Source organism: Homo sapiens, chromosome 2 (genome assembly GCF_000001405.40).
Source record: "Homo sapiens chromosome 2, GRCh38.p14 Primary Assembly".
NCBI lineage: Eukaryota > Metazoa > Chordata > Mammalia > Primates > Hominidae > Homo > Homo sapiens.
Window position 1 is genome coordinate 10,345,790 of NC_000002.12, and position 25,523 is coordinate 10,371,312.

Genomic DNA, 25,523 nt, shown 5'->3' on the forward strand with positions numbered 1-25,523 from the left:
TTTCTGAATATAAAAGTGATACATGCATGTTCACTGTAAAATAGAAAATATAAAGAAACTAGAAAACTATTTATGACGCCCCTCCCCCACCACAAAAGGGGCAAGGACTGCGAACTTTTGCCGTATTTTGGAAGATTTCCTAAGTCACACAAGCACACAGATGGTCTGTTGATCCAAACCAGGAAGAACAATTGTGGGAATAAGTGGAAGTGTGAGTGTGTGGGTGTGTCTGAGTGTGTGCCCTGGGGGTGTGTGTGTCTGTGTATGTGTGAGAGAGCCAGGCTGTGTGTGTGTGTGTATGCATGCAAACACTTATGTGCAATGCCTTGGGGTCCTCAGACCCCCCTTGGTCCATCAGGGGCTGGTGGCCTCCCAGTAGGACACTAGCACAGCTGCACTCATGTCCTTCTTTGAGGGGGGGTGACGGGGAGAAAGTTGGGGAGCAGCAGTGACTGCTGATGTTGTGGGGGCCATGGGGAGCCTCCTGGTATTCTGTCTCGAGGCTCTGGGGATATGGTGGGAGAAGCCCTCATGCCAGAATTGGGAGGGGATGGAATGGGACTGACCCCATCACAGCCCACGTGCCTCATTCAGGGCTTGGCTGTGGAGTCTTGGGGGAGGTGCTCCCTCATCCTCAAATGTTAACTTTGTCTGCCTGGCCCCAGTCCCCTCTGTGGCTTTTTTCCTCTTTCAATTGGGAGGCAGTTCTGTCTTAAAGAGATGTTTAACCCTCTAGGTCTCCGTGCAGGCATTTTTGTTGTGAGCCAGTCAGGCTATAAATGGTCCATTAAAAGCACTGTCCAGTTGACATAACCGGTCTACCAGGCTGAGACCCACAGACCCGGGACTGGCATTTATTTATGGATATGATGTGCAAGGAGAGTGTTTTCCAGTAGCAGGCGTTGGCATCATCAAACAGAATGAAGTGTACTGTGTTTTCACCATGATAGTACAAAAACGAGACTGTGAGAGCTTCTCACTTCTCTCCCCTTCCTCCCCTTCCTTCTCCATGTCTTTGTGCTCCTCCACTGCTCCCTCCCCAGCACAGACAGGCCCTGGCTCCCTCCCCCCACCCTCTTCCTTCTCTCTCCTTCTAACTGGGGTCAGGACCACCCTGGAGGATGTTAGATTTTAAACATTTGTTCCTCTTGTCATCCCCACCACCCCACCCACCCACCCAGATTAGTTTCTAAGGGATTTATATTTGTTTGCAGAGTGGTGCGAACTGTTTTCATCCTCAGAGGAGCAGAGTGCTCATAGATGAGTTTGACATTACTGGGATTCACTTTCAGAAGTCTCTAGAGAGCCCCGCACCGCCCCCGCCCCCCGCAGGTGCTGGAGTTCAGCCTGACACACAGGCCGGCCTCAGTGAGAGGGAGTGTCTGCCTCCCTGGCATCCGTGACCCATACGGTGGGCGCCTGTTCTTTAGAACAACTTGCTCCTTCCGTCGTTGGCTTGGTCACCCAGCCCCCGGCCCACCCTTTTCTGAGCCTGTCATCCACACCAGGCAGAGCCCTGTCTCAGAGTCTCATGGGGAGCAGGGCCTTCAGGGAAGGCCCATGTGCTGGGACTGACTTGGCTCACAGGAATTTCCTGATGGTATAAAATGTGCCCCCCAGCGCCTGATAATGGTCACTTCGCCTAAGTTCCAGCCCCAGATGTGGACCACGGTGGGGCAAAGGTGGGCGTGGGGAGGAGGAAAGAGGTTTAAAATGGCCACACCCACTACTTCTCCTTTGGAAGTGCCTCCTGCCACCCTGGGGTCCCAGGAGCTGATCTGTGGGTGTCTGTCCTCAGCACCCACCCTGCTTTTCCTTCAGGCCCCGCTCTGGCTGTCTGGGCCTTTCTGGTGCTGTTCCTCACAGGTTTAAACACTCCAGCAGCAGCCTTTCCCATGGCACTGTGTCTGCGGGGCGGGGTTGGGCATTTTCTGAGGCTTCCTGTGTTTCACGGGGATCCAGTATGAAGCCTGGCACGGAGTATGGGCCAAATCGGTTTAATGTTTAGCTCCCCAAACCCTTCACTTCTGTGTCCTCATTAATTCAGACAAGGTTGGGTTTAGCAAACTGTGTCTCAAACATAAGAAAATGCAGCGTGGGAATGGGGGAGGGGAGGAGTGCTGTAGAAGGACCATTTCAGAAGCCCTGGTTTACAGGAGAAAGATTGGTATCTTCATAAGTCACTCTTAAGCTTGCATTTGTTCATGCTTTAACACAGTGATTAGATACCTACTGTAAGCCTAGCATGGTGGGGATATAAAAGCAAGATCAAGTTCAAGGGGGCAGGGATTTAGGGTCAGTGAGACGGACCTCTTAATCACTTATTTTGTACACATCAGAGCAGTGACATTGTGTTTCTTTAAAAATACTAGGGGCCAGCCCGGGCACAGTGGCTCATGCCTGTAATCCCAGCACTTTGGGAGGCCAAGGTGGGCAGTTCACCTAAGATCAGGAGTTCAAGACCAGCCTGCCAACATGGTGAAACCTCATCTCTACTAAAAATACAAAAATTAGCTGGGCATGGTGGTACACACCTGTAATCCCAGCTACTCGGGAGGCTGAGGCAGGAGAATCACTTGAACTCAAGAGGCGGAGGTTGCAGTGAGCCGAGATCGCTCCACTGCACTCCAGCCTGCACGACAGAGCAAGACTCCATCTCAAAAAACAAAAAACAACAACAGAAAAAACTCTGGGCCAGCTGTGGTGGTTCACACCTGTAATCCCAGTGCTTTGGGAGACCAAGGTGGGGGGATCGCTTGAGCCCAGGAGTATTTGCCCAGCCTGGGTAGCATAGCAAGATCCTGTCTCTACAAAAAAAAAAAAATATATATATATATAAATTAGCCAGGCAGGGTGATGTGCATCTACAGTCCCAGCTACTTGGGAGGCTGAGGTGGGAAGATCACTTGAGCCCAGGAGTCTGAGGCTGCAATGGGCTCTGATCCCACCACTGCACTCCAGCCTGAGCGACAGAGTGAGACTCTGTCTCAAGAAACAAAACAAAACTCTGGATTCTGGCCTTCTCCTGGGAAATCCAGATTTGTCTGGTATGATGTTCGTTGAACCCATTTAGTCCAGCAGCCTGGCTTTCCAAAAGTATGTCTGCCTCTCACGGTGCCCAGTAGCTTTAACCAAAGAGCTCAGGAAAGGGCCTGTCTGAATTCAATCACATTCAGCATCTATTTCAGCGTTTTACTAGCTTTCAATTAAAGTAGCCACGCATTTGAGCCTGATGGTCTTATTGTTTTATGTTGTTCCTTTTGCACATTTCCTGCTTGTTTATCTTTGTGGCACAGGGGCATGTTCTTGGCTGCAGTTAACAATGCTGGCCACGGCAGTGCAGCGTTTCCAAATTTCTTCCCTTTATTAACAGGCGGTAATGGAATCTGAATCTTCAAAAATAAATTTTACATACTTGTTCTCTACCATAAAAGTCATCCATACTTATTAGAACGTCTCAAACATACTAAGAGGTAAGAAGGAGACAAAAAATAATATTTTGTCACCCCTGCCCAGGTAGCCACTCTTCTATTTGAGTGCTTGTAAGAAGCCTGCTTTTCCAGTATTATCTGACCTGGCAGGGAGTTGGGTAATTGAAAAAGATTATTAAAGAGGGGATCATAAAAATGATATAGACGCCGGGCACGGTGGCTCACACCTGTAATCGCAGCACTTTGGGAGGCTGAGGCGGGTGGATCATGAGGTCAGGAGAGACCATCCTGGCTAACACGGTGAAACCCTGTCTCTACTAAATATACAAAAAATTAGCTGGGCGTGGTGGCGGGCACCTGTAGTCCCAGCTACTCAGGAGGCTGAGGCAGGAGAATGGCGTGAACCTGGGAGGCGGAGCTTGCAGTGATCCGAGATCATGCCACTGCACTCCAGCCTGGGTGACAGAGCAAGACTCTGTCTCAAAAAAAAAAAAAAAAAAAAAAAAAAAAAAAAAAAAAGATATAGACATATTGAGCATTTCGTTTTGACATAAAACGTTTCATTTTCATATAAAAATGCATTTATTCCCCATCTCTTGATACAGGGCCAAGACCTCTCTTGGATTATGGGTCCACTGGCTTCTGTCCTGATATGTCTTTTTTGCACTATCCACACTGTTAATGCATTTTCTGAGATTCTCAGTTTCTGTTTCTGTCAAGTAATGTAGGAACTAGCACCAAATCCTTGCCGATTTCATATACCACTGATATTATACAGTTATTTTGTTCATGCCTAATTGAACAGCCATCTTCCCCCAAACATTCAACTCTGTTTCATAAAACCAACTCCTTTTAATTCCTCTTCTGAGGGTTTGCATAAAATTTAATTAACTTTGGTAATTACATAAGTACTACTGGTATAAGCAGGTTTGGAAACAAACGTAACTGAGTCTTGGTGGGCTCAGAGTGCACCTGCCCGAAGGTTCCCACATGCTCTATGCACCCAGAAGGGGACAGAGCATGCCCCATAGTCCAGGGGCAATTAGGGGAAGCAGCTAATGAAGTCTGCTTTCTTCTGGCCTTTTAAAAATCTATGTCCTTTTTTTTTTTTTTTTTTGAGGCAGGGTCTTGCTCTGTTGCCCAGGCTGGAGTGCAGTGGCATGATCATGGCTTACTGCTTCTTGGGCTCAAGCAATCCCCCCACCTCAGCCTCCTGAGTAGGTGGGACTATTAGGTGCATGCCACCATGCCTGGCTAATTTTTGTATTTTTTGTAGAGACAGGATCTCACCATATTGCCTTGGCTGGTCTCGAACTCCTGGGCTCAAGCGATCCATCTGCCTCAGCCTCCCAAGTGCTAGTAAGCCACCACACCCAGCCAAAATTTAAAACACCTGTGCCTCAAAGAATACCGTCAAGAAAGTGAAGAGACAGCTCACAGAATAGGAGAAAATATTTGCGAATTGTATAGATTCTAGACTTGCATCTAGAATATATAAAGAACTCTTACAACTCAATAATACAAGACAACCCAGTTAAAAAATGGGCAAGGGACTTGAATAGACGTTTCTCCAAAGATATACAAGTGGCCAAGAAGCACATGACAAGATGCTCAACATCATTAGTCACGAGGGAAATGCACATGAAAACAACAGCGATATATCCAGTAAGACTGCTAGAATCAAAAAGTCCTATAAACTCCAGCGGAGATGAGGAAATGGAGAAGGTGGAACCCTCATACGCTGTTGGTAGGATGAAAATGGTGCAGCCTCTTCAGAAAACAGCCTGGCAGTTCCTCAAAAGCTTAAATCTAGAGTTACCATATGACCTAGCAGTTGTACTCCTAGGCATATAAGAATGAAAGAGAAATGAAAACTTACACATAAATGTTTACAGCAGCATTATTCACAGCAGCCAGAAAGTGAAAATGACCAAAATGTCCATCAACTGATGAATGGATAAACAAAATGTAGTCTATCCATACAATGGAATATCACTGAGCAGTAAAAGGAATGAAGTTGAGATTCATGCTACAACATGGACCAACCTTGAAAAGATATGCTAAGTGAATGAAGCCAGTCACAAAAGACCACATATAATACGATTCCATCTATGTGAAATGTCCAGAATAGGCAAATCTGTAGAGACAGAAAGCAGATTAGTTGTTGCCTGGGGCTGGGACTGGGAGGCTGAGGGGAAATGGGGAGTGGCAGTGAATGGGTACATGGTTTCTTTTGGGGAAGATAAAAATGTTCTGGTCAGGTGCCATGGCTCATGCCAATAATCATTGCACTTTGGGAGGCTGAGTCAGGAGGACTGCTTGAGCTCAGGAGTTCCAGATCAGCCTGGGCAACATGGCGAGACCTCTGTCTCTACTAAAAAGAAAAAAATTAGCCAGGTGTGGTGGTGTGTGCCTGTGGTCCCAGCTACTTGGGAGGCTGAGGTGGGAAGATTGTTTGAGCCCAGGAGGTTGAGGTTGCAGTGAGCCATGATCGTGCCACTGCACTCCAGCCTGGGTGACAGAGCAACACCCTGTCTCAAATATAAAACAAACAAACAAATAAAGGGCAAAATTCTCCCTGTCTGAAAAAGGGGGCAGTGATTCTTTACAAAATTGATCATGGTGATAAGCGATGGTTGCACAGTTGTGTCACCATTGAGTTCCTTCCTTCCTTCCTTCTTTCTTTCTTTCTTTTTTTTTTTTTGACGGAGTCTCACTCTTGCCCAGGCTGGAGTGCAGTGGCGCGATCTCAGCTCACTGCAACCTCCACCTCCTGGGTTCAAGAGATTCTCATGCCTCAACCTCCCAAGTAGCTGGGATTACAGGTGCGTACCACCACACCTGGCTAATTTTTGTATTTTTAGTAGAGAAGGAGTTTTGCCTTATTGGCCAGGCTGGTCGCAAACTCCTGACCTCAAGTGATCCATCTGCCTCAGTCTCCCAAAGTGCTGGGATTACACAGCCAACCATTGAATTTAAATATGTGAATTGTATGGTGTGTGAACCGCAAGTGTTCTGCCTATCCATATACCTCCCACTCACCTTCCCTCTCCCCATCTCACTGTTCTGGTGAGGGAGGTTCTTGCTTTCCTTTCGCCTGTTTGGGACCTCACTTCCTTTTTCCCTTCCCCATCCCTTTGTAGCCCCTTCTCAAGAGAGAGAAGACACCTTGATTCCCACCTACGCTCTGCTAAAACTTTTCCGTTCTAGTCTTAAATCTCTCTCTCTTAAGAACTGATTTCCCAGTAGGGTTTATGTTTGGAGCTAAATTAGTCCTCCTGGAAGCAGTTGACTTCATCCTCCAGCAGCTGTGCCATCAGCAGAGGCCATGCATGCTGGGGCAAGATCCAGGCCTATCTCTTCCTCTGCAGTCCCCTGGGGACGTCTGGGATCTGGTTCCTTGGTTGGGCCACGCTTAGCTCTCCTTCGCATGGGTGTCTCAATGCCAGGGTGTCAGGAGAGCTACAGTAGCCAGCTCAGGCCCCCCCAGGGAGAGCTGGGGAGGGAGCTGAGGGCCTGGTGCCCCCCATCAGGAGGGACCTTTGGAGTCTTTCTTGGCTCTGCCCAGGCCTTCTGAGCACACAGAGATCACTCCAGCCCTCTGCCCTCTCTGTAGCCAAATGAAAAGACTCTTCTAGTCTTTCTGGCCAACTAGTAAGCTCTTTGAAGGTGGGTACCATTCTTGACATTAGAAAAAACTCAGAGCCGTTTGGATACTGAATATTTTTGACATGCTCTGGTCACTGAACGAGAAGACTCTTCATGAAAATGATGCTTTGTCAGCTCTGTAGAGAAAGGCGATTGGAATTTTGGTTGACCAGGTTAGGGTAAGGGAAGAATGAATCCCCAGTGTCCTAAGCTGGCAGGCAGTCGTGCCGATGCAGTTCTCATTTCTGCTGTCAATTTGCCAGGAGACTCAGAAAAAGGCCGCTATGCCTTTCTGCACCTCAGTTTCCTCATCTGTCAAATGGGCAGTGTTTTGGGCGTGCTGGGCACAGGTTTGTCTGAGAACCAGCTGAGGCCTGTGTTGCGCATGGGACCTACTATTATTCTTTATAATATTAATACCAAGGACATTTAACACCTGCAACAACAAGAACAAGCACAGTCTCAGAAGGAAAGCCCGTCCTCTAAAAGAGTGTCTGTAGAGCAGAGAAGCCCCCAGTGCCATCCTTCTCTTTCTGCCAAGCTCCTGTGCCAGTGCTGTCGTGGGGGGCCCTGCCTGCAGGTGTGGGGATACTGGTTCAGGGCCAGTGGCCCCTGGCAACTGGTTTGTCTTTTAGAGAAGGCAGGACTGAAATGATCAGCTTTCCATGTAGGGCCAGACTCTGGGCAGGTTTCTTTTTAAATTTTTTAAATTTTTTTGAGACAGGATCTTGCTCTCTCACCCAGGCTGGAGTGCAGTGACATGATCAGGGCTCACTGCAGCCTTGACTTCCCAGGCTCAAGCAATCCTCCTGCCTCAGCCTCCCCAGGTAGCTGGGATTATAGGCGTGTGCCGCTATGCCCGGCTAATTTTTTTGAGTTTTAGTAGACGAGGTCTCACTATGTTGCCCAGATTGGTCTTGAACTCTTGGACAATCTTCCCACCTCAGCCTCCCAAAGTTCTGGGATTACAGGCGTGAGCCACCACACCTGGTCTCAAATAAAATTTTATTGGAACAGCTACACTCATTTGCTTTATGTCATTGTGTCCGGCTGCCCTCATGCAGCAGGCAGAGATCTGCTGACCCCTGGTCTAGAATGTGGAATGCTGGATCCCTGGGTTGAGGGACTATTTTAATGGTAAGTACCCATATTTAGATCTTTTTTACTGTGGTTTTGTGATGTGATCTGTCATCTCCTCTGGGCTTGCATTTCTCCAGTGACAAGGCGCTCACTCCTCCCACGGCGATGCATTCCAGCCGTCGAATTATGTAGTTCTACTGCTTAATCCTTCCTTAACTTGCTCTTCCTGAAGCCTCAACTCACTCATCTTCTTTCTCAACCCCTCAGGCCCAGCAGAAGTCCTCTCTGTCTTCTCCAGGCGCAGCCCTTCAGCCATGCAATCCTGCGTGTCCTCGTTCTTCATTCCACAAATACGTTCTAAGGGCCTCCTGCATTTCAGGCACTTCAGAGGACCTTCTGGAAGCTTCCCAGGGCCTGCTATCTTCCCTGTACTGTAAGGGGACACTTTGCTCAACTGTTCACTTGAACAGAGTCTTCAATGTCTTCTAGTGAATTCTGGGCTGAAACCAATGTCGACTTGGCCAAATTAAGGCCACGGTCTTGGTCAGCCACCTTCCAGGTTGACTTGCCAGGGTGTCCTGGGTTGGTTTGTTTTACAGAAGCAGAGCTCCCAGGGCTCATCGCACAGCCATGGCCGAGGTGTCGGGACTCAAATTCCGGGCCCTTGGCTGTGCTTCTCACATTCTTTCCATTGTCCGACGCACTGAGGCAGAGACAGGAATTTTAACTACTCAAAAACTACTGTTTACGTATTTTACTTTGACTTCTTTCTGGGTTCTTGCATAGGCTTCAAGGAGGGAGGATATGGATGTGAGCTTATTGTACAAATGCCCTGGGTTTTCCAAACGTGTCTGATCTTAAATACACAGCCCTGCGTGCTGACCTTGTGTTAGAACTTAATGATGCGACGTTTGCTTTGCAAACTGTGGTCCCCTCCTCATAGATCCTTCAATTCAACAATTGAATTCAACAAGCCCCTGGGCACCCACCGTGCACCAGGCACTGTGTTAGGTGCTGCAGAGATGAAGATGAGGAGGATGATGGCCTGTGCCCAGGCAGGTAACAGACTAGCAGAAGGACAGGAAGCAAAGTGGGCATGTGTACCATGTGTTTAAAGCCTGAGGGAACAGCTGGTAGGATCCTCCTGGGGCTAGGTGGTGGCAGCAGCAAAGAGAGGGGACATTTGAATTGGGCTTTGAAGGGTGCATAAGAGTTTAACGGGGCCGGGCGCGGTGGCTCACGCCTGTAATCCCAGCACTTTGGGAGGCCGAGGCGGGCGGATCACGAGGTCAGGAGATCGAGACCATCCTGGCTAAAACGGGGAAACCCCGTCTCTACTAAAAATACAAAAAATTAGCCGGGCGTAGTGGCGGGCGCCTGTAGTCCCAGCTACTTGGGAGGCTGAGGCAGGAGAATGGCGTGAACCCGGGAGGCGGAGCTTGCAGTGAGCCGAGATCCCGCCACTGCACTCCAGCCTGGGCGACAGAGCGAGACTCCGTCTCAAAAAAAAAAAAAAAAAAAAAAAAAAAAAAAAGAGTTTAACGGGACAGCCACACCACTGATCACTCAGAAGTAGGTGGGTTGTGAATCTTCAGCATTCTGGAAAATGTAAAAAGTTGTTCAGTGGGCAGCAGTAAAGAGGGTTTCGTTTTCCTGGAGACACTGTTGCTACTTTGCTGGCTTATACAGGGACACCCAGAGAGCGGCTGGGAAAATCAAGAACTGTGTCACCTCCTCCGTTCTTGCCCACTGTCCAGGGCTCAAGGAGATTGGGGAGCAGTTTGCAAAGGCATTTGAAGATTAGGCTCCACAGAGATGGACACTTTTTTTTTTTCCTAAATAGATACAGAGTAGCCTTGTGAAGGTTTCTTTTGGGTCTGAGTAGGGGACGCACAGGGCATGGCTATGAGGGTCTCAGAAACTGGTACCTACTTTCCTCTTATTTGGCACCGGGAGCCCCTGCCGGAGGACATGTTCTAGTGACAGCCCTGGGCTCAGGCTTGGAGAGTGCATTCTCTTCCCCAGGAACGCTAGTCACAGCTCAGTAATTCACCCCAGGGACCGCACAGAGCAGGTGGGATGGTATTGATTTGTGGGCCTTTTGGCAAAACATACTCATTCCTAACTGGCGAGGGAACCGCCAGTTCATTTATTCATTTACTCTTCTGAGTCCAGCAACAACCTTAAGAGGCAGGTGTTACCTCTGGTTTCTGTTTAAACTGATGGCCAGCAAGGTAGGGCAATTTGCCTAAGGACACGCAGCTCCTAAGCTACTAAACCTCCCGCTCGCCTGGAAGAGAAGACAGGACGGGCCTATAGTGAATCATGAGTGCAGCATGAGAGTGTTAAAGGTCACAGGACGCCTCTTAGTGCCAAGGGAGTTCATAGTGGAGACCCCTTTTGCCTGAGGGACTGGGGAGGTGGTAGTTTTGAACTGGGACTTGAAGGACAGACTGGGGTAAAAGCAAGAGGAGAAGCTTGAGGGAGGACGGTGTGTGCCAGGACGGTGGGACTCAGAGGGTGGTGGGGGGCACATCCACTGTCCCCTTCCATCCTGCAGCCACTCCCTGAGGTGGCATTTCCTTGAATGACAGGAGAGGAGCCTGAGGCACGGGAAGATTAAGTAACCGGTCCTACGTATAAGGTGGCATTTGAACCCAGGTCTACCTGGCTCCATAGCCAGGCCCCGTGCCCCACACACCACACCACCTGGCGCTTGGCCAACAGGAAATCACGTCCCCCAGTGTGTAAGTCAGGGAGGCAGAGGTGCTGAGATGCTCTCACCTGTGGGCTCCCGGGCCCAGCCATGCTCTTGGTGTTCCCTCAGGCCCTGGCTTCCCCCCTCCCTCCAGGTGGACCCATGCTTGTGCCCCTGTGCATTCTCCCACAGACTCCTCCCTGCGGGGCCACCCATCTCCAAATCCCAGCTGCATATCCACAACTGTAGAGTGTTTTAAAATAGTGATGGTAGCCTAGGCAACATAGCAAGACCCCATTACCCCCAAAAATACAAAATTAGCTAGGCGTGGTGGCACATGCCTGTAGTCCCAGCTACTTGGGAGGCTGAGGTGGGAGGATACCTTGAGCCCAGGAGGTTGAGGCTGCAGTGAGCTATGATTGCACCACTGCACTCCAGCCTGGGTGACACAGCGAGACTCTGTGTCTAAAAAAAAAGATGGTGATGCTGTCCAGGCTTGACGTAGGAGCCTTCCGTTCCTCCTCAGGGCCTGTGCTCTCCTTTTGAGGAACAGCCTCCTTTTAGTAAATGTGAGGGTGGCTGAGGTGGGACATGAGAGGCTTGCAGTACCCACCAAGCCAGGCCAGCCACATGGCCTTCTCAACTCCTGGCCCAGCCCAGGTTGTCAGCTCTCTCAGGTTTTGCTCTTTCTCCTGCGTGCTTTCCCCGTGTTCTTCTGCACTGTTATCTTTCCTCTTCATCTGAGGCCATGTCTTTACCTTATGTGGTGCTGATGTGGGCCAGGGAAGCTGTGGCAGGGGCCCGGGAACCACCCCAGGGGGATGCAGAGGGAGTGGACCCTGTGGGGCTCGGCCATGGCAGAATTCTGCTCTGATTGGCTTTAGATCGTCGCCTGTGACAGCGTTTCCTCCGCGGAGTGTGTTAGGAAGAGCAGAAATGCCTCCTGCATCTTTATTAGATCCCTCCAAATGGAAATCCAGCAGAAAGCCGATGTTCTTGTAAATATCACGACCTCCCTCCCCATGAGGTGTTTGTAGAACAGTTATTTACTCGTTTTGTTTTCCCCACCTGCAGTTTACAGAAGAAAATCAAGAAAGCGTGTTTTTCCTCCATGCATAATCCCATCCCCGACTGTAACAACAACAAAACCGTCCTCCTGTTAGGAAGCAGCAGTGACTTCTTTAGGCAGGAAAAAAAAAAAAGCGTGCTATGCCAGAAAGCAGGAGCAGCTGGGAAGGGAGAGGGAGGGGGCCACACCTGGCCTACCCCCAGTCACCTTTTACCCAGGGATCCCCTGAGGAAAACAAGCTGTGACCTTGAGCCGGCACCAGCCCCAGGGCTGAAACCCCAGCCCTGTCTGAAGGGTTCCTTTCCCGTGTCCACCACGGCCCCGTGCTGTATAGCAGCCCCGGTGGAAAGCCTCTTTCTCCTGTACCTGGAGGAGTTGCTGGAAGAAGGAGAAGGCTCAGCACCAGCTTCTGGCTAAAATCGTGGCCGATGGCTGGATGATTCCGGCCCCACTTTAATAAACAGGATAGATGTGCGGTAACATCAGGTTGTCAGGCCCTATTTTGTGATAGAAAGGATGAGGAGGGAAACAAGCACAAATCAGTAGTGTCACAATCTCAACCACTTCTTCCATTTTCGTTAATAGAATCGGAGTCTCACTATGTTGTCCAGACTGGTCCTGAACTCCCAGCTGATACGGAAGTGGGGCAGGGAAGTGCTGGGAGGAGAAGGGCGGGTCCCTGTCGAGGGCTCCACCCCTGGGCCCATGCCCACAGCCCTAGGTGAGGACAGACACTCCTGCCTTTACACCCAAATGCTGCATTTCCCAAGACCACCCTGGCCCACCACACTCCCATCCTGTGCCTATAAAAACCGCGAGAGCCTAGCAGGCACACACAGAAGCGGCTGGACATTGAGAGGAACACGTGGGTGGAAGAAGACACACGTGGCTGGATATCAAGAGGACGTCGGGGGAACATGCCCTGGGGAAGAGCACACAACAGATGCCGGCACGCTGGCAGGCCACTGACCAGCAGAATGCCCCGGAGTTTGGCTGGGGCGGTCGGAGAAGAGTCAGGAAAACCATCTCCCTTCTGGCTCCCCCATCTGCTGGGTGAGCTCAATAAAACCTTGCACTCATTCTCCAAGCCCACGTGTGATCTTCTGGTACACCAAGGCAGGAACCAGGGATACAGAAAGTCCTCTGTCCTTATGATAAGGCAGGGGTATAATTGAGCTGACTAACACAAGCTGCCTACGGATGGCAAACTAAAAGAGCACCCTGAATGCCCACCGGGGCTTCAGCTGTAAACATTCACTCCTAGACACTACCATGGGGTTGGAGCCCCACAGCCTGCCCGTCTGCATGCTCCCCTTGAGGTTTGACCCGTCTGCATGCTCCCCTCGAGGTTTGACCCGTCTGCATGCTCCCCTAGAGGTTTGAGCAGCGGGACACTGACGAAGCGAGCCATACCCCCATCACATGCCCTTTGAGGGGGAAAAGGGAACCTTTCCCGTTTCACAGCCACAGTTTCCTGCTGTTTTCTGAAATTCCTGGTGGCCACTCCCTTGGTGTCCATGGGTGTCTGGTGTGTGCCTATGTTTGCTGCGGGCTGGCTCGGCGAGGGGGAGGTGGGCAGCTGGGGGCTCTCTGGACCCTGCGGCTGGCATGGGTTAGTGGCTCCGTGTCACCTGGTTCCTCTCACCTCTGTTTTCCCTTCTAGCCCCTGCAGGCAGGAGACTTCAACGCAGAGATTAAGAAGTTGAGATGTCTTTGTTCCCAGAGGAAAGTCCCTGCAGGCCCCGGCCTCATGGCCTCTGTGACAGCAGCAGGATTAGAGGCAGAGTTGGCCCAGAGGGAACATTTCTCCCACCCTCTGTCCCTCGGGGACCCCACTTCCCAGGTGGCCTGGAGGATGAAGTCAGGGCTCTGGCCTCATTGAGGGCCTGGAACTCTTTAGAGCCCATCAGGACCAAGCTCTGGTGGCCTTCCAGGCCCACTCAGTGGCTGGCGGTCCCACCTCCAAATGCAGGCAGACCACACTCCCTGAAGGGCAGTGGCAAGGCCAGGCCAGCACCTCTCCACTCTGAGGAAGGGGCCTTACCCAGATCCCCGTGTCCCCCACAGCGGTGGCGGTTTTATTGATGTATTGTGAAGGCACAGGGAGGGCCCTTTCCAGAGCAGGCTGCATCTCCCCTCAGCTTCCACACTCTGAACCTGCCTCCTGCCTCCTTCCACAGTGCCCGCCGGGTCCACAGCGCCCGCCGGGTCCACAGCGCCCGCCGGGTCCACAGCGCCCACCAGGTTTGATGTGGGCTGAGCACACCGTCACTAACTCATTCCTTCATTCATTCTTCACTGTGTGGGGTGTCGGGACCCAGCACGGGCTCCTGGCGCAGCAGGCCTCAGACCCTGGGGAGAGCTTTGCTGGAGGAAGTGCAGTGCCAAGGACCCATGTCCTCATTCCCCCTGGGTAGAGCGTGTCGGGTGACTCTGCTGCGGTCTCCAGGAGCTGGCAAGGGAGGGGTGCACCACCAGGGAAGGGAATTCCAGGCAGCAGGCACCAGGAGCCTCATCCAAGAGAAAGAGAAGTTCCCTAGACTCCCAGGCAGGGTGAGCCGAAGGGCCTTGGAGAGTCCCTGAGGTCCCGTTTCATGGGAGACTTCTCTCACAAAGCGAATGAGCTCAAATACGGAAGATGGAGAAATGGAAAACAGAAACAGAACAGAACCTCCACCTGCTGGGTAGATGTTAACTGAATCTTTTTTTTTTTTGAGATGGAATCTTGCTCTGTCACCCAGGCTGGAGTGCAGTGGCACGATCTCTGTTCACTGTAACCTCTGCCTTACGGGTTCAAGCGATTCTCATGCCTCAGCCTCCCCAGTAGCCAGGATTCCAGGCACCCGCCACCACACCTGGCAAAATTTTTGTATTTTTAGTAGAGACAGGATTTCACCATTCTGGCCAGGCTGGTCTGAAACTCCTGACCTCGGGTGATCCGCCCACCTGGGCCTCCCAAAGTGCTGGCTTGAGCCACCATGCCGCCCGGCCTTACCTGAATCTTATCACACATTCCTTTGGAAAATGAATCTCCTGTGATGGGAAACCAGCCATTTTCCTGGTGAGGCCTCAGCCCTGTAGCCATTCCAGCATAGTTAACCTGGGACTCTCTTCTCCTCTCTTGTCTCTCCTCTTCCTCCTATCTGGCCTGCTTGCTCCATCCTCCCCTGCTTTCTGTCTCTCTCCTCACCACGTGCCTTTGGATGTTCTGAATATGCTTTTGTTTGCCTGTCCAGCAGTATTCTCTCCACGGTCTCCTCCTGGGTGTCTGGCGTGTGCCTTGCGTGTGCTGCGGGCTGGGATCTGTGGGAATGACATAGTCGGACATGGTCCTGAGCCTGTTGGCCTGGGGACTCCTTTTCTGTCATACTAGATGAGACAGGCGAGACTGCCCTGGAAAGCCCGGCGTGTCTGGCCTCCCCAGTGCTGGACGGTGGCCAGTGTGGTTTTCCAGGCGAGTCCGTGGGCTCCTGGGTGGGTGGTCGGGCTCGTGGGGAGATCCCAAGCAATGGTTGTAGAGGGATGGGAGGGAATGGGTGGATCCCAGAGAGAGAGAGAGAGAGAGAGCAGGCTGGTTCCACTGTGGCCTCGTTGTCTAATGAGGAGAGTGTACAGATAAGTCATGCTTTGTTTTGCTCTGTCTCTGGAATTTTAATCAGTTGCCCTAATTGCCTTCAAATTATTGGAAGGGAAAAACGCCAGCAGAGGGTCCTGACAGATCCCAGCTGTCTAGCTGAGGACTTATCTTCTCATTGTTCTTGGGAAACCAGTCAGGTTTAGGGACTTGAGGTGGATGATTCATTAATTCTTTTAAACTGATTTCCTCAGCCATGTACACAGGTGTGAAAGCCCTTCTTATGTTATCAGTATTACCCTAATATATCAGAGGGCTAGGATTTCTCATAAGGCGACTGTTATCTTTTGATAATCACATAAATAACGTTTCCATAGTTCTCGAAAGCTTGCCAGATGCTTTCATGTACATTAGCTAACTTCTTAAATTTTTTTTTTTTTTTTTGAGATAGGGTCTCACTCTTGTCAACCAGGATGGAGTGCAGTGGCATGATCTCTGCTCACTGCAACCTCTGCCTCCCAGGTTCAAGCAATTTTCCTGCTTCGGCTTCCTGAGTAGCTGGGATTATAGGCGCCCGCCACCATGCCTGCCTAATTTTTGTATTTTTAATAGAGATGGTGTTTCATCATGTTGGCCTCAGACTCCTGACCTCAAGTGATCCATCTGCCTCAGCCTCCCAAAGTGTTGGGATTACAGGCATGAGCTGCCATGTGTGGCTGACATTAGCTAATTTAATTCTTACAATAATCTTATGAATTGGGATTCTCATCTCTTTTAAAATGAGGAAACTGAGGCTCAGAGAGGTTAAGTCATGTGCCCAAGATCACTTAGCTAGTAAGTGATGGGCAGGGCTGTGGAGCTGGTTCACTTGACTCTGCTGCCATTGCATCCAGTTTGCTCTGCCAGCGAGTCAATTGAGCATTTGGAGCATTTGCTGTGTGCCAGCCTCATGGAGGCAAACGGAGCTTCGGAACCCAGGTGTCGAGAATGAGCTGTTGGCACTCAGTCCTGGAGTGGCAGCATGGGGGGCGGGGGCAGGAGCATGGGGGACAACAGTCCAGGGAGGGCCACATGACAGCAAGCAGAGCCTCGAATGCCTGAGTCCTGGCTCCAGAGAGAGGCCAGCCTGAGCTCCTCCATGTCCTACTCCTGTGGATAGACCCCCCGGAATGCAGGGGGCCGGGCTGAGCAAGAGGAGGAGAGGACAGGGAAGGAACATGTCTGCTTCTTTCCTTCAGGAAAGGAAAGGTGAGCTGGGCGATGGGGAAGGCCTCCACGGTGTTCTGTTGTAATGTTCTGCCACTTGGCAGCCTCACCAGGGACATATCAGCCCCAGGCTGATTATCTGCAGACCGGGATCCCATTTCTGCTGCTTTGGGAGAGAAGGGAGGGTAGCCCTGAGGCCATCCCAAATGCGAGTCTGTTCACAGAGGGGCTCTCCTGGCACCTTCCCCAGCCCAGACGCTGAGGAGGGCAGCCAGAAGCCCCTGCATCAGGTAGGAGTGCTGAGTCATGAGATTGGGTTGAATGGCGGCTTTAGCACAGCTGTGGCCTGTGTTAGAGAGGGTGAGTTTGGACCATTCCTGAGCAGAGGGGGACCTCAGAGGACAGTCGGACTGGGGAATCCCTGGCCCAGAGAGGGAAACTGGTTTTCCCAGAGTCACACAGCTAGGTGCCCCTTTGATGGTTCTCTCAGTGACTCACGCCTGTAATCTCAGCATTTTGGGAGGCCAAGGTGGGAGGATTACTTGAGCCTAGGAGGTTGAGGCTGCAGTGAACCATGATCATACCACTGCATTCCAGCCTGGCCAACAGAGCAAGACCTTGTCTCAAAAAGTAAATAAAAAATAAAACCCATTCTCACTCTAACCCATGCTGTATCTGATTTTTTTCCTGAGGTAGGCTTGAGATGGGAGGGTTGTTATTTTTTGTAAATGCATTAGGGGCGGAGTGGTGGGAGAGTGATTCCCCTGCAGCCCTTCTGAGGTCACTGCCACACCATGGCAAGAAAAGTATTTCTGACTCCTGGAGCTCCACGGTGTGACAGGTGGGCAGGAGCTGCTGGGGGTGCTGGGCAGACGTTTACCGTCCAGCACCCCCATTTCTGCTGCTCTGATAACTTGGATCGACTGAAGAACCTCGGGGCTTTCTTGGCTGTTTGTAGGAGCTTCCAGAAGCGACCTTTCGGGATGCCTCTTACATAGTCCTGCCTATACCCTCTACACGTGGCGTTTCAGGTCTGGAGAGTCATGTGGTGTAGCTGTATTTCTGGGAAGTGTGTGACCCGAAGCCTCCTCCTGTCAGAACCACCGGGGAGCTCACAAGCTAAAGTGCAGATTCCTGGGTCATCCCAGACCTGCTGAAGCCAAATCTTTAGGGTGGGGCCAGGAATCTGCATTTTAAACAAGCTCCGGAGGTGGCTCTGAGGCCAGCCACAGTTTGGGCACGGCAAGGCTGGGGAGCCAGGCTTGTTTCGGATCTCCAGTCCTTGTGTGGGCTGCGTGACCTTGGATGAGTTATTTCCCATCTCTGAGCCTTGGTTCTCTGGTCTGTTAAGTGGCAATCTTGCCCCTTCTGTTTTAGGCACTGTCGGGGTTGCCTGCCTTCTGGTAAGCGTTTAGTGCCCTGAGCCGACTCAGCTGGTGCTCAGGGAGGCCTGATGATTCGGGGCGCTTGGCCGGGTGGTGGGGTGGGACACCCCAGAGGGAAGGGCACTGGTCCCAGCTTGGTGGGGCAGGCCACCTGGAGGAGGGGTGGACCTTGGGAGTGGGTTATATTAGGGCCTCCAGGCCTCAGTTTGGGAGGAGCTTGCAGTGACCTTGGAGATGGTAGTGACCTTGTCCTCCTGCCCTGCCTGGGTGCACAGGCTCCCAGCACGTGGGTGGCAAAGGTCCTAGAGAGCACCCAGAGGCGGGTGTCTGCCTGGGGTCGAGTGTGGGAGCTGGGCCCAGAGCCCCCACTTCTGCCTGGCATCCGGGGGTCCCTCCGGGAAGCTGAGGTTGTTTTCTTGAACAGTAAGGACTGGCCAGAGCCCTGAGCACCGAGAGGTGAGGGTGAGGCCCCCCCTACTCTTTCCCCCACCCTCCTGGGAATGACTGCCGACATCAGGGAAGGGAGGGGCCCCAAGGCCAGTGACCTGGAATGCGATGGCCAGGGAGGCAGGAGCTGGAGGCTGTGTGGGGCACGAGGAGGCCGATCGGGTGTCCCGGGGGAGACTCCTCGCTGCTTCCCTCGGGATGGTTTCCATGAACTTCCCTCCCCGGCCCTGACGGCCTCCTCTCCTAAGCTCCCGCCTCCTTTTTTTTTTTTTTTGGAGACAGTGGCTCACTCTGTCACCCAGGCTGGAGTGCGGTGGTGCGATCATGGCTCACTGTAGCCTCGACCTCCCCCGGCTCAGGTGATCCTCCCACCTCAGCCTTCCAAGTAGCTGGGACTACAGGTGCATGCCCCCACACCAGACTAATTTTTGTATATTTTGTAGAGATGAGTTTTGCCATGTTGCCCAGGCTGGTCTTGAACTCCTGGGCTCAAACAATCCTCCTGCCTCGGCCTCCCAGAGTGCTGGGTTTATAGGTGTGAGTCACTGCACCTGACCATCCCTCCCCGCTTTTATGTCCTTTTCTCCCTCTCTGAGGTAGGGGGACCAAGCCCTCCTCCCCAAGCCCTGTCCACTGTGGGGCCTTCTACAATGTGAGCTTGTACATCTCTGTGATGTCACCCAGGTGCCACCAGGTGTGTGTGTCCTGATGCCTTTGGCCACCAGCCTCAAAATCTCCCAGAGTTCCAGGTGCTTGGTGGAAGGGATTCATGTACCCCTATCCCCATCCCTAAATGAGAGTGTCCACACCACCCGCCCTGAGTTCTGAACTTAGCCACCTCATGTACGGAAGGAGAAATGGAGGCCGCCAGAGAGGTCTAGGCCTCCGACCCTGACCTTGCTCCTCTTGGATGGTATTGGGTGGCATTCCAGGACAGCTGGGATCTTGATCATCCAGTGGGTGCCCTCACTGTGCACCTGCCTCCAGGTGGTGGCGCGGTAATTGCAAGAGCGTGAGCCCCTCCTCTGGGGCATGTTCTTGGAAATAAATACACCTCGTGTCATGGAGATGGGCAGACGAGGTGCCAGCTATTTGAACGGACAGCCCGGAGTCTGTGCAGGAGTTGGAGGTAGAGCGGGTCGAAGGCTTGCGGAGGGACAGGTGGGTCTCCCATGGATGGCTTTTCTTGGAGGCTGCAGCCAGGAGCCATTGTTTCTCTTCCCACCTGACCTTGGGTGGTTCCCCTTCAGCCCTGGCGTTATGATGTCCCGCCCAACCCCCGACCGCACACCTCCCTCCCCCTTAGCTGCTTCGAAGCCAAAGGTGTGGCAACAGCTAACAGGTGCTTGGTGGTCCCCGCCCACCCTCCTTCAGGCTCCCTACACCCACCTGAGTGGGCCTTTCTGTGTTCACTTCAGGGATGAGGCTTGGAGAAGAGGGTGTGTGAGGGGGTGCGGGTGGCCCTCCAGACTGGACCTAGGCCTGCTGCATTCTGGGTTGAGGTCCTCTTGCTGCCTCTCTGTGAGCGAGCCTCGCCTGCTGGGTGCTGAGCCCACACCGCATGTCCTCGGCCTCCCATTGAGATCAGCTATACGTGATATAGACCAGGGATGCACGCCTCATGAGGAGACGCTCACTCCCCCAGACACACTGAGTACTCTTTCCTCAAGCTCAGTGCAGTTCGTCCACGTTTGCCCAGCAGCACGCCTCCCGCAGCGTTGTCAATATTTATTCGTGGTTGCCGCTGCCTCCCTCCTGGACCGCCCATTCCCTGGGCCCTGTCTGGTGGTGGCTGGCCTTGGAGAGCTGGCCTCTCAGCACAGCACCGGGCACCAGGGCTCAAGGTCAGTGGGTGTGTCTTTGGGTCCCTTAAGGAGCAAAGTCTCATAATTTGCTTTATTTTGTTTTATTATTATTAATTTTTTTTGAGACAGTTCTCGCTCTGTCGCCCAGGCTGGAGTGCAGTGGTGCGATCTCGTCTCACTGCAACCTCTGCCTCCCGGGTTCAAGCGATTCTTGTGCCTCAGCCTCCTGAGTATCTGGGACTACAGGCACCCGCCACCACACCCAGCTAATTTTTGTATTTTTGGTAGAGACGGGGTTTCACCATGTTGGCCATGCTGGTCTCGAACTCCTGACCTCAGGGGATCCACCTGCCTTGGCCTCCCAAAGTGCTGAGATTACAGGCGTGAGCCACCACGCCTGGCCCCTTAATTTACTTTAAATAAAGATCTGGTTCTCCCAGATGAGGTTCACAGACAGATGTTCCAAGAGCACATCTGTCTGGCATCAGGAGACTCACCCATACCAAGCTCACAGTGCTGGCCATGATCCGACTCCCGCCCTGCAGCTCAAGCTTGGTCTGGAGACCTTCTCTGGCACCTGCCCCGGCTCCCCAGCCCCGGGCTTCCTGCATTGTGTGCTTCCACTCCCGTCTTCTCCACTAGGAGCTCTGTGGTACGGGCTTTCTGCACCTTGACCTCTGGGCCTCCCACCACAGCACGGTGAAGGCACCAACTATTTCACTGCTAGATCCAAGGATGCTGGGGCCGGGGGCAGCTCTGAGTGTGTCTCATACAGTGACCTTGTTTGAGGAGGCTGTGTAGGCCCAGGATTTTCCTGGGGTGAGGGACGCCAGGTTCCTTGATGTGTTGGGACAAAGACGTTGGCTGGGCGAGGAGGCTGCCTGAGATCCCACAGTGAGGCTGGCCCTGCCCTTGCTCGCCCAGCTGATCTGACACCCTCCAGATGGCCCAAGAGAGACCGGGAGGAGCATCTGGTGGAGGACCTGGGTGTTCTGTCTGGAGATTTCCCATTGCTTTTCCAGTTTATTGTCATCTGCTTGGGACTTGAGGGTAACTTCATCTCTCAAAATAGGCTGAGACTTTTTACAGTTAGATATTTAATATACAGATGACGGGCGGATGGTAGTGTTGTTTTAAGGGGGGATTTTGTTGCTGTCGTTGTTGTTGTTGTTTTGAGACAGAGTCTTGCTCTGTCACCCAGGCTAGAGTGCGAGCTCGATCATAGCTCACTGCAACCTCAAACTCCCAGGCTCAAGTGATCCTCCCACCTCAGCATCCTGAATAGCTGGGACTACAGGTGTGCGCCACCACGCATGGCTAATTTTTTGTAGAGATGGGATGTTGCCATGTTACCCAGACTGGTCTTAAACTCCTGGGCTCAACTAAAATTTTAATCTCCAATTCATACATTTCAGAAAGTATAATAATATGTAAAGCAAAATCATAATAGCAACAACAATCACTGTCATCCCACGGGTTGGTTTAGATGTAAATTTTATGCTTCCTTGCAAAAATTTGTCGAAAGTGCCAGAAAAGCCCTTGTCCCATATCACAGTCCCATGACCCACACTCCCATGGAAAGCCTTAGAACTGATGTCAGTGTGAGCCCTGTGCTGGAGTGGAGGGTGACAGAGCTTCGGACATGAGCAGCCTCTGCTGCTGCGGCCACCCTCGCCGGCCCTGGATCCCCACACAGTGTGGGGTGTTCAGGATTCCTCATGTGACCCTTACCCTGCCTGCCCTGGGACTGTGTGCCTGTGTGCTTGCATGTGTGTATGTGCGTGTGTGCCCATATGCGTGTGTAGGTGTGTGCATATGTGTATATAGGTGTGTGCATGTGTGTATATACCTGTGTAGGTGTGTATGTGTGTACATGTGCATTGTAGATGTGTGTGCATATGGTGACCTCAGTTCCAAAGCTTTCCATGTGTGTGTCCATACACATGTGTAGGTGTGTGCCTGTGTGTGCATATGCGCATACACATGTATAGGTGTGTGCATGTGTGCACACGTGCATGTGTAGGTGTGTGTGTGCATTGTGTGTAGGTTTGTGCATGTGTGTGCATACGTGTGTGTAGGGGTGTGCGTGTGTACACATATGCATGTGTGTGTGTGCATTGTGTGTAGGTTTGTGCATGTGTGTGCATACGTGTGTGTAGGTGTGCATGTGTGTGCACATATGCACGTGTGGGTGTGTGTGCAGTGTGTGTAGGTTTGTGTGTGTGTGTGCATATGTGTGTGTAGGTGTGTGTGCGTGTCAGCATATGTGTGTCTGCATTCACTCGGCCAGAGCTCCTTGAGGGCAGGGTGGTTCCCACCTCTCTGTTCCCCCAGCTCCCAGCTCCGGCCTGGCTTTTAATCACAGAGTAAGTCAAGCCTGCTTTGGGAGCCTTCTGACTCCCCCAGACACACTGAGTACTCTTTCCTCGAGCTCAGTGCAGTTCGTCCACATTTTCCCAGCAGCACGCCTCCTGCAGCGTTGTCAATATTTATTTGCTGTTGCTGTTGCCTCCCTCCTGGACCGCCCATTCCCCAGGCCCTGTCTGGTGGTGGCCGCCCTTGGGGAGCTGGCCTCTCAGCACAGCGCCGGGCACCGGGGCTCAAGGTCAGTGGGTGTGTGTTTGGGCTTGAACTGATGTGTGTGTTTACTGAGCTTTCTCCGCAGCCTGCTCCGGCAGCTCCAAAATGGCATTTCAGGAATTGAATTACCGACATTTCAGTACTTGCGGAATCCAGGAATAGATTATTTGATTGTATCTGTTGGAAGTCATTGCCGTAACTGGCTTCGTTTTCTTCACCAACATCTAAACCGAGTGGGGAGGGACCGCAGGAGAATGCTGTGGTGACTTGATTTTCCCAAAAGCACATCTCCCAAGCTGGCGGCAGCCGATGGCGTTGCCCTGTGACTGGGGGAAGCCTGAGGACTCACGGTCGCCTCAGGCTGGCCACCTTCGCACTGGAACCTGCCCATCACATCAAGGAGCCCTCTCAGGCTGAAAACCCTGTGCCGGGGTGGCTGCAGCAACACAAGGATTCCCCTCCAGCTCTGTGATGTGGGGAGCAGAGGGCCACTGAGTCCTGCCATGTGAGTCACATGATGCCCGTGGCCTGATTTCTGTGCCCCCATCTTGCCTCTTAGAGTTTGTTGACCTCAGGGCTCACATATCCCTTGTAAGGGGTTGTGATGGCTTCCACGGCCATCATGGCTAGTTAGGATTTTCCTCCAGCCCTTGAGGAATTCTCTCGGGATTTTTTCTGGCCTTGCCTGTCTGCAGAATCCATAGAGGACCTACAGGAATGTCTGCCTCTGAGTCCATAGTACTTGCAGGCCTGGGAGGCTGGATCAAGGTGGATGTTGACACTTGGTGGGGCCGGAGCCCTGGCTTCCTGGCTGCCTCATAGCTCAGGCCCGTTTGACAGCATTTGTGAGCACCTGTCCCAGGCAGGAGCAAGTTCAACAGCAGCAAGGGCTCCAGGCAGAGGGAGGTGGGCTCTGATGGGACTCAGGGGCAGCCTAAATGTAGCAGAGAACTGAGAGGGGATCCCTGAGGCCTTCTTGGAGGAGGTGGTGGTTAAGCCAGCTAACTTTGTCCATTGGAAACTGTCACCAGGTCCTTATTAATCAAATAATAATGAATATGCCGTGTTCGGATCCACTAGGGAAAGCTGAAATTGAGCTCAAAGGAGGCATAGAAGTTCAGCTTGTAATTTTGAAAAAGGAAAAGGCTCTGGCCTCATTAGGCTGCCCCCAGTGTGTCCTTGAGACCTCCTTACTCCTTGAAATGTGCTTCTTAACGTTTTGGAAAAAACAACTTTCTCCTTCTATACTTAGCCCTTATCTCAATGTGCAGGCGCCTACCTGGCCCACTTATCTTCAAGAAATGTGCTGGGTTAGGCCTCAGGAGTGGCAGGCACATAGATACTGTATTTGGCCTTGGCCTTCTGCCCAAGTGGAGTCTCCGCATTCCTTTGTATGGGCCCATTGGGCATGCCTGGCTAATCTGCGCACCCTCTTTCCACTCTCCTTCCTGCATTTCTCCTTCCCTTCAGTAGTGGCTCCCTTCCCATTCCCCAAATCGCCTCTGCTTTTATCTTCTTCCAATCGAATTCCCGTCAGTCGTGGAGCAGGTGGGACACCTGTGTATGTTGCGGGGGCACAGAGAAGCAGCCTGTGCTCACCCATGCCTGCCTGCAGGTGCATGCTTGGGACTTGGCAGTGGGGGAAGATTTTGGGGTTAGGATTTCCAGGCTGGCTTGACACTGACCTGTTTTGTTCCAACCCATACAAGCCCTAAACCCTCATGTGCAGATCCTGCTGGCTCTCTGGGGAACACTTAGTTGGATGCAGGTAGGAAGAGGCTTCAAGGAGCAGAGGAGGGGCTGGCTGAGGGCCAGCCACTTTGTCTGGTCCCCAGAGCGGGGTCTAACATGTGGGAACTGAGCAGCAACTGTGAGCTAGCCCTCAGGCAAGGCTGCCCCATGATGCCAGGGCACATAGGGCAGACTCCAGATGATGGGGCCACTGCTGGCATTGGCCTTTTGCAGGGCACAGGAGTCTGCCAGGGGTGTGTTTTGGAGCCACCCATACAGGTGTACCAGCTTTTGGAAAATCCCAAAGATGTGGTGCCCTGCTCCTGGGGGTCTTGGGGGCTCCCAGGTAGCAACAGCGTTCTGGGAGGACGTGGGCTCAAATTCCAACTTTTCTACCAGGTTTTGGCTATCCTTCATCCCCGTGGGGCTCAGTTTCCTCATCTCCAAGCTAAGGGGGCCCACCTAAAGTTGTCACAGAATTGGACGTGTGACGGGGCAGCCCCCTTCACCTGTGGGATCCGAGGCAGAGCTGGCACCTCCAGGCTGTGGGTCCAGTGACCCGGCATGGAGCCAGCAAACAGAGGAGGCACCTCCAGGCTGCAGGGTCCAGTGACCTGGCATGGAGCAAACAGAGGAGGCCAGTGGGCAGGTGGGTGTTACCAGGGCCTGGAGCAGCAGGGGTGGAGCCCTGGGGCCAGGCAGGGCGGGTTTGGGGTGGCATGTGGTTTGTTGTGGCCCTGTCATTTGCAGTTTGGGTTAGTGGGTCTGGCTGGCCACCGGGGTTGGAGGGGAATGCCAGTGGGACTATACATTGTCTCCTTGGAGGTGACTGTGCCCCCAGAACTGAGTGGACAAGCCAGGCTTGTGTC

At 52.4% G+C, this 25,523-nt stretch overlaps 1 protein-coding gene across 20 annotated transcripts in view, besides 2 other annotated features; it reads left to right on the forward strand.

The window, feature by feature from the left end:
* The window catches only part of HPCAL1 (hippocalcin like 1), a 124,701-nt gene that overhangs the window by 42,886 nt on the left and 56,292 nt on the right, over positions 1-25,523 (forward strand). For 2 of the 20 annotated variants that reach the window (XM_017003953.3, NM_001258358.2), the window contains exon 1: positions 22,871-22,948. The exons of 16 other annotated variants lie outside the window; for them this stretch is intronic. The gene's annotated coding sequence lies outside the window, so the exon portion shown is untranslated. Of the gene's footprint in view, positions 1-22,870; positions 22,949-22,990; positions 23,429-25,523 lie in introns of those variants that run through there. 2 more of the 20 variants (XM_047444100.1, NM_001258359.2) reach the window with 1 other exon arrangement.
* Positions 22,089-22,896: an enhancer, noted in NCBI's record as "OCT4-H3K4me1 hESC enhancer chr2:10508004-10508811 (GRCh37/hg19 assembly coordinates)". NCBI's record gives its function as "activates a minimal SCP1, AML or CMV promoter by ChIP-STARR-seq in naive H9 embryonic stem cells {active_cell/tissue: H9 hESC(naive)}" and the evidence as "EXISTENCE:reporter gene assay evidence [ECO:0000049][PMID:30033119]".
* Positions 23,534-23,828: a silencer, noted in NCBI's record as "tiled region #2000; K562 Repressive non-DNase unmatched - State 5:Enh". NCBI's record gives its function as "represses a minimal TATA promoter and a strong SV40 promoter by Sharpr-MPRA in K562 cells {active_cell/tissue: K562}" and the evidence as "EXISTENCE:reporter gene assay evidence [ECO:0000049][PMID:27701403]".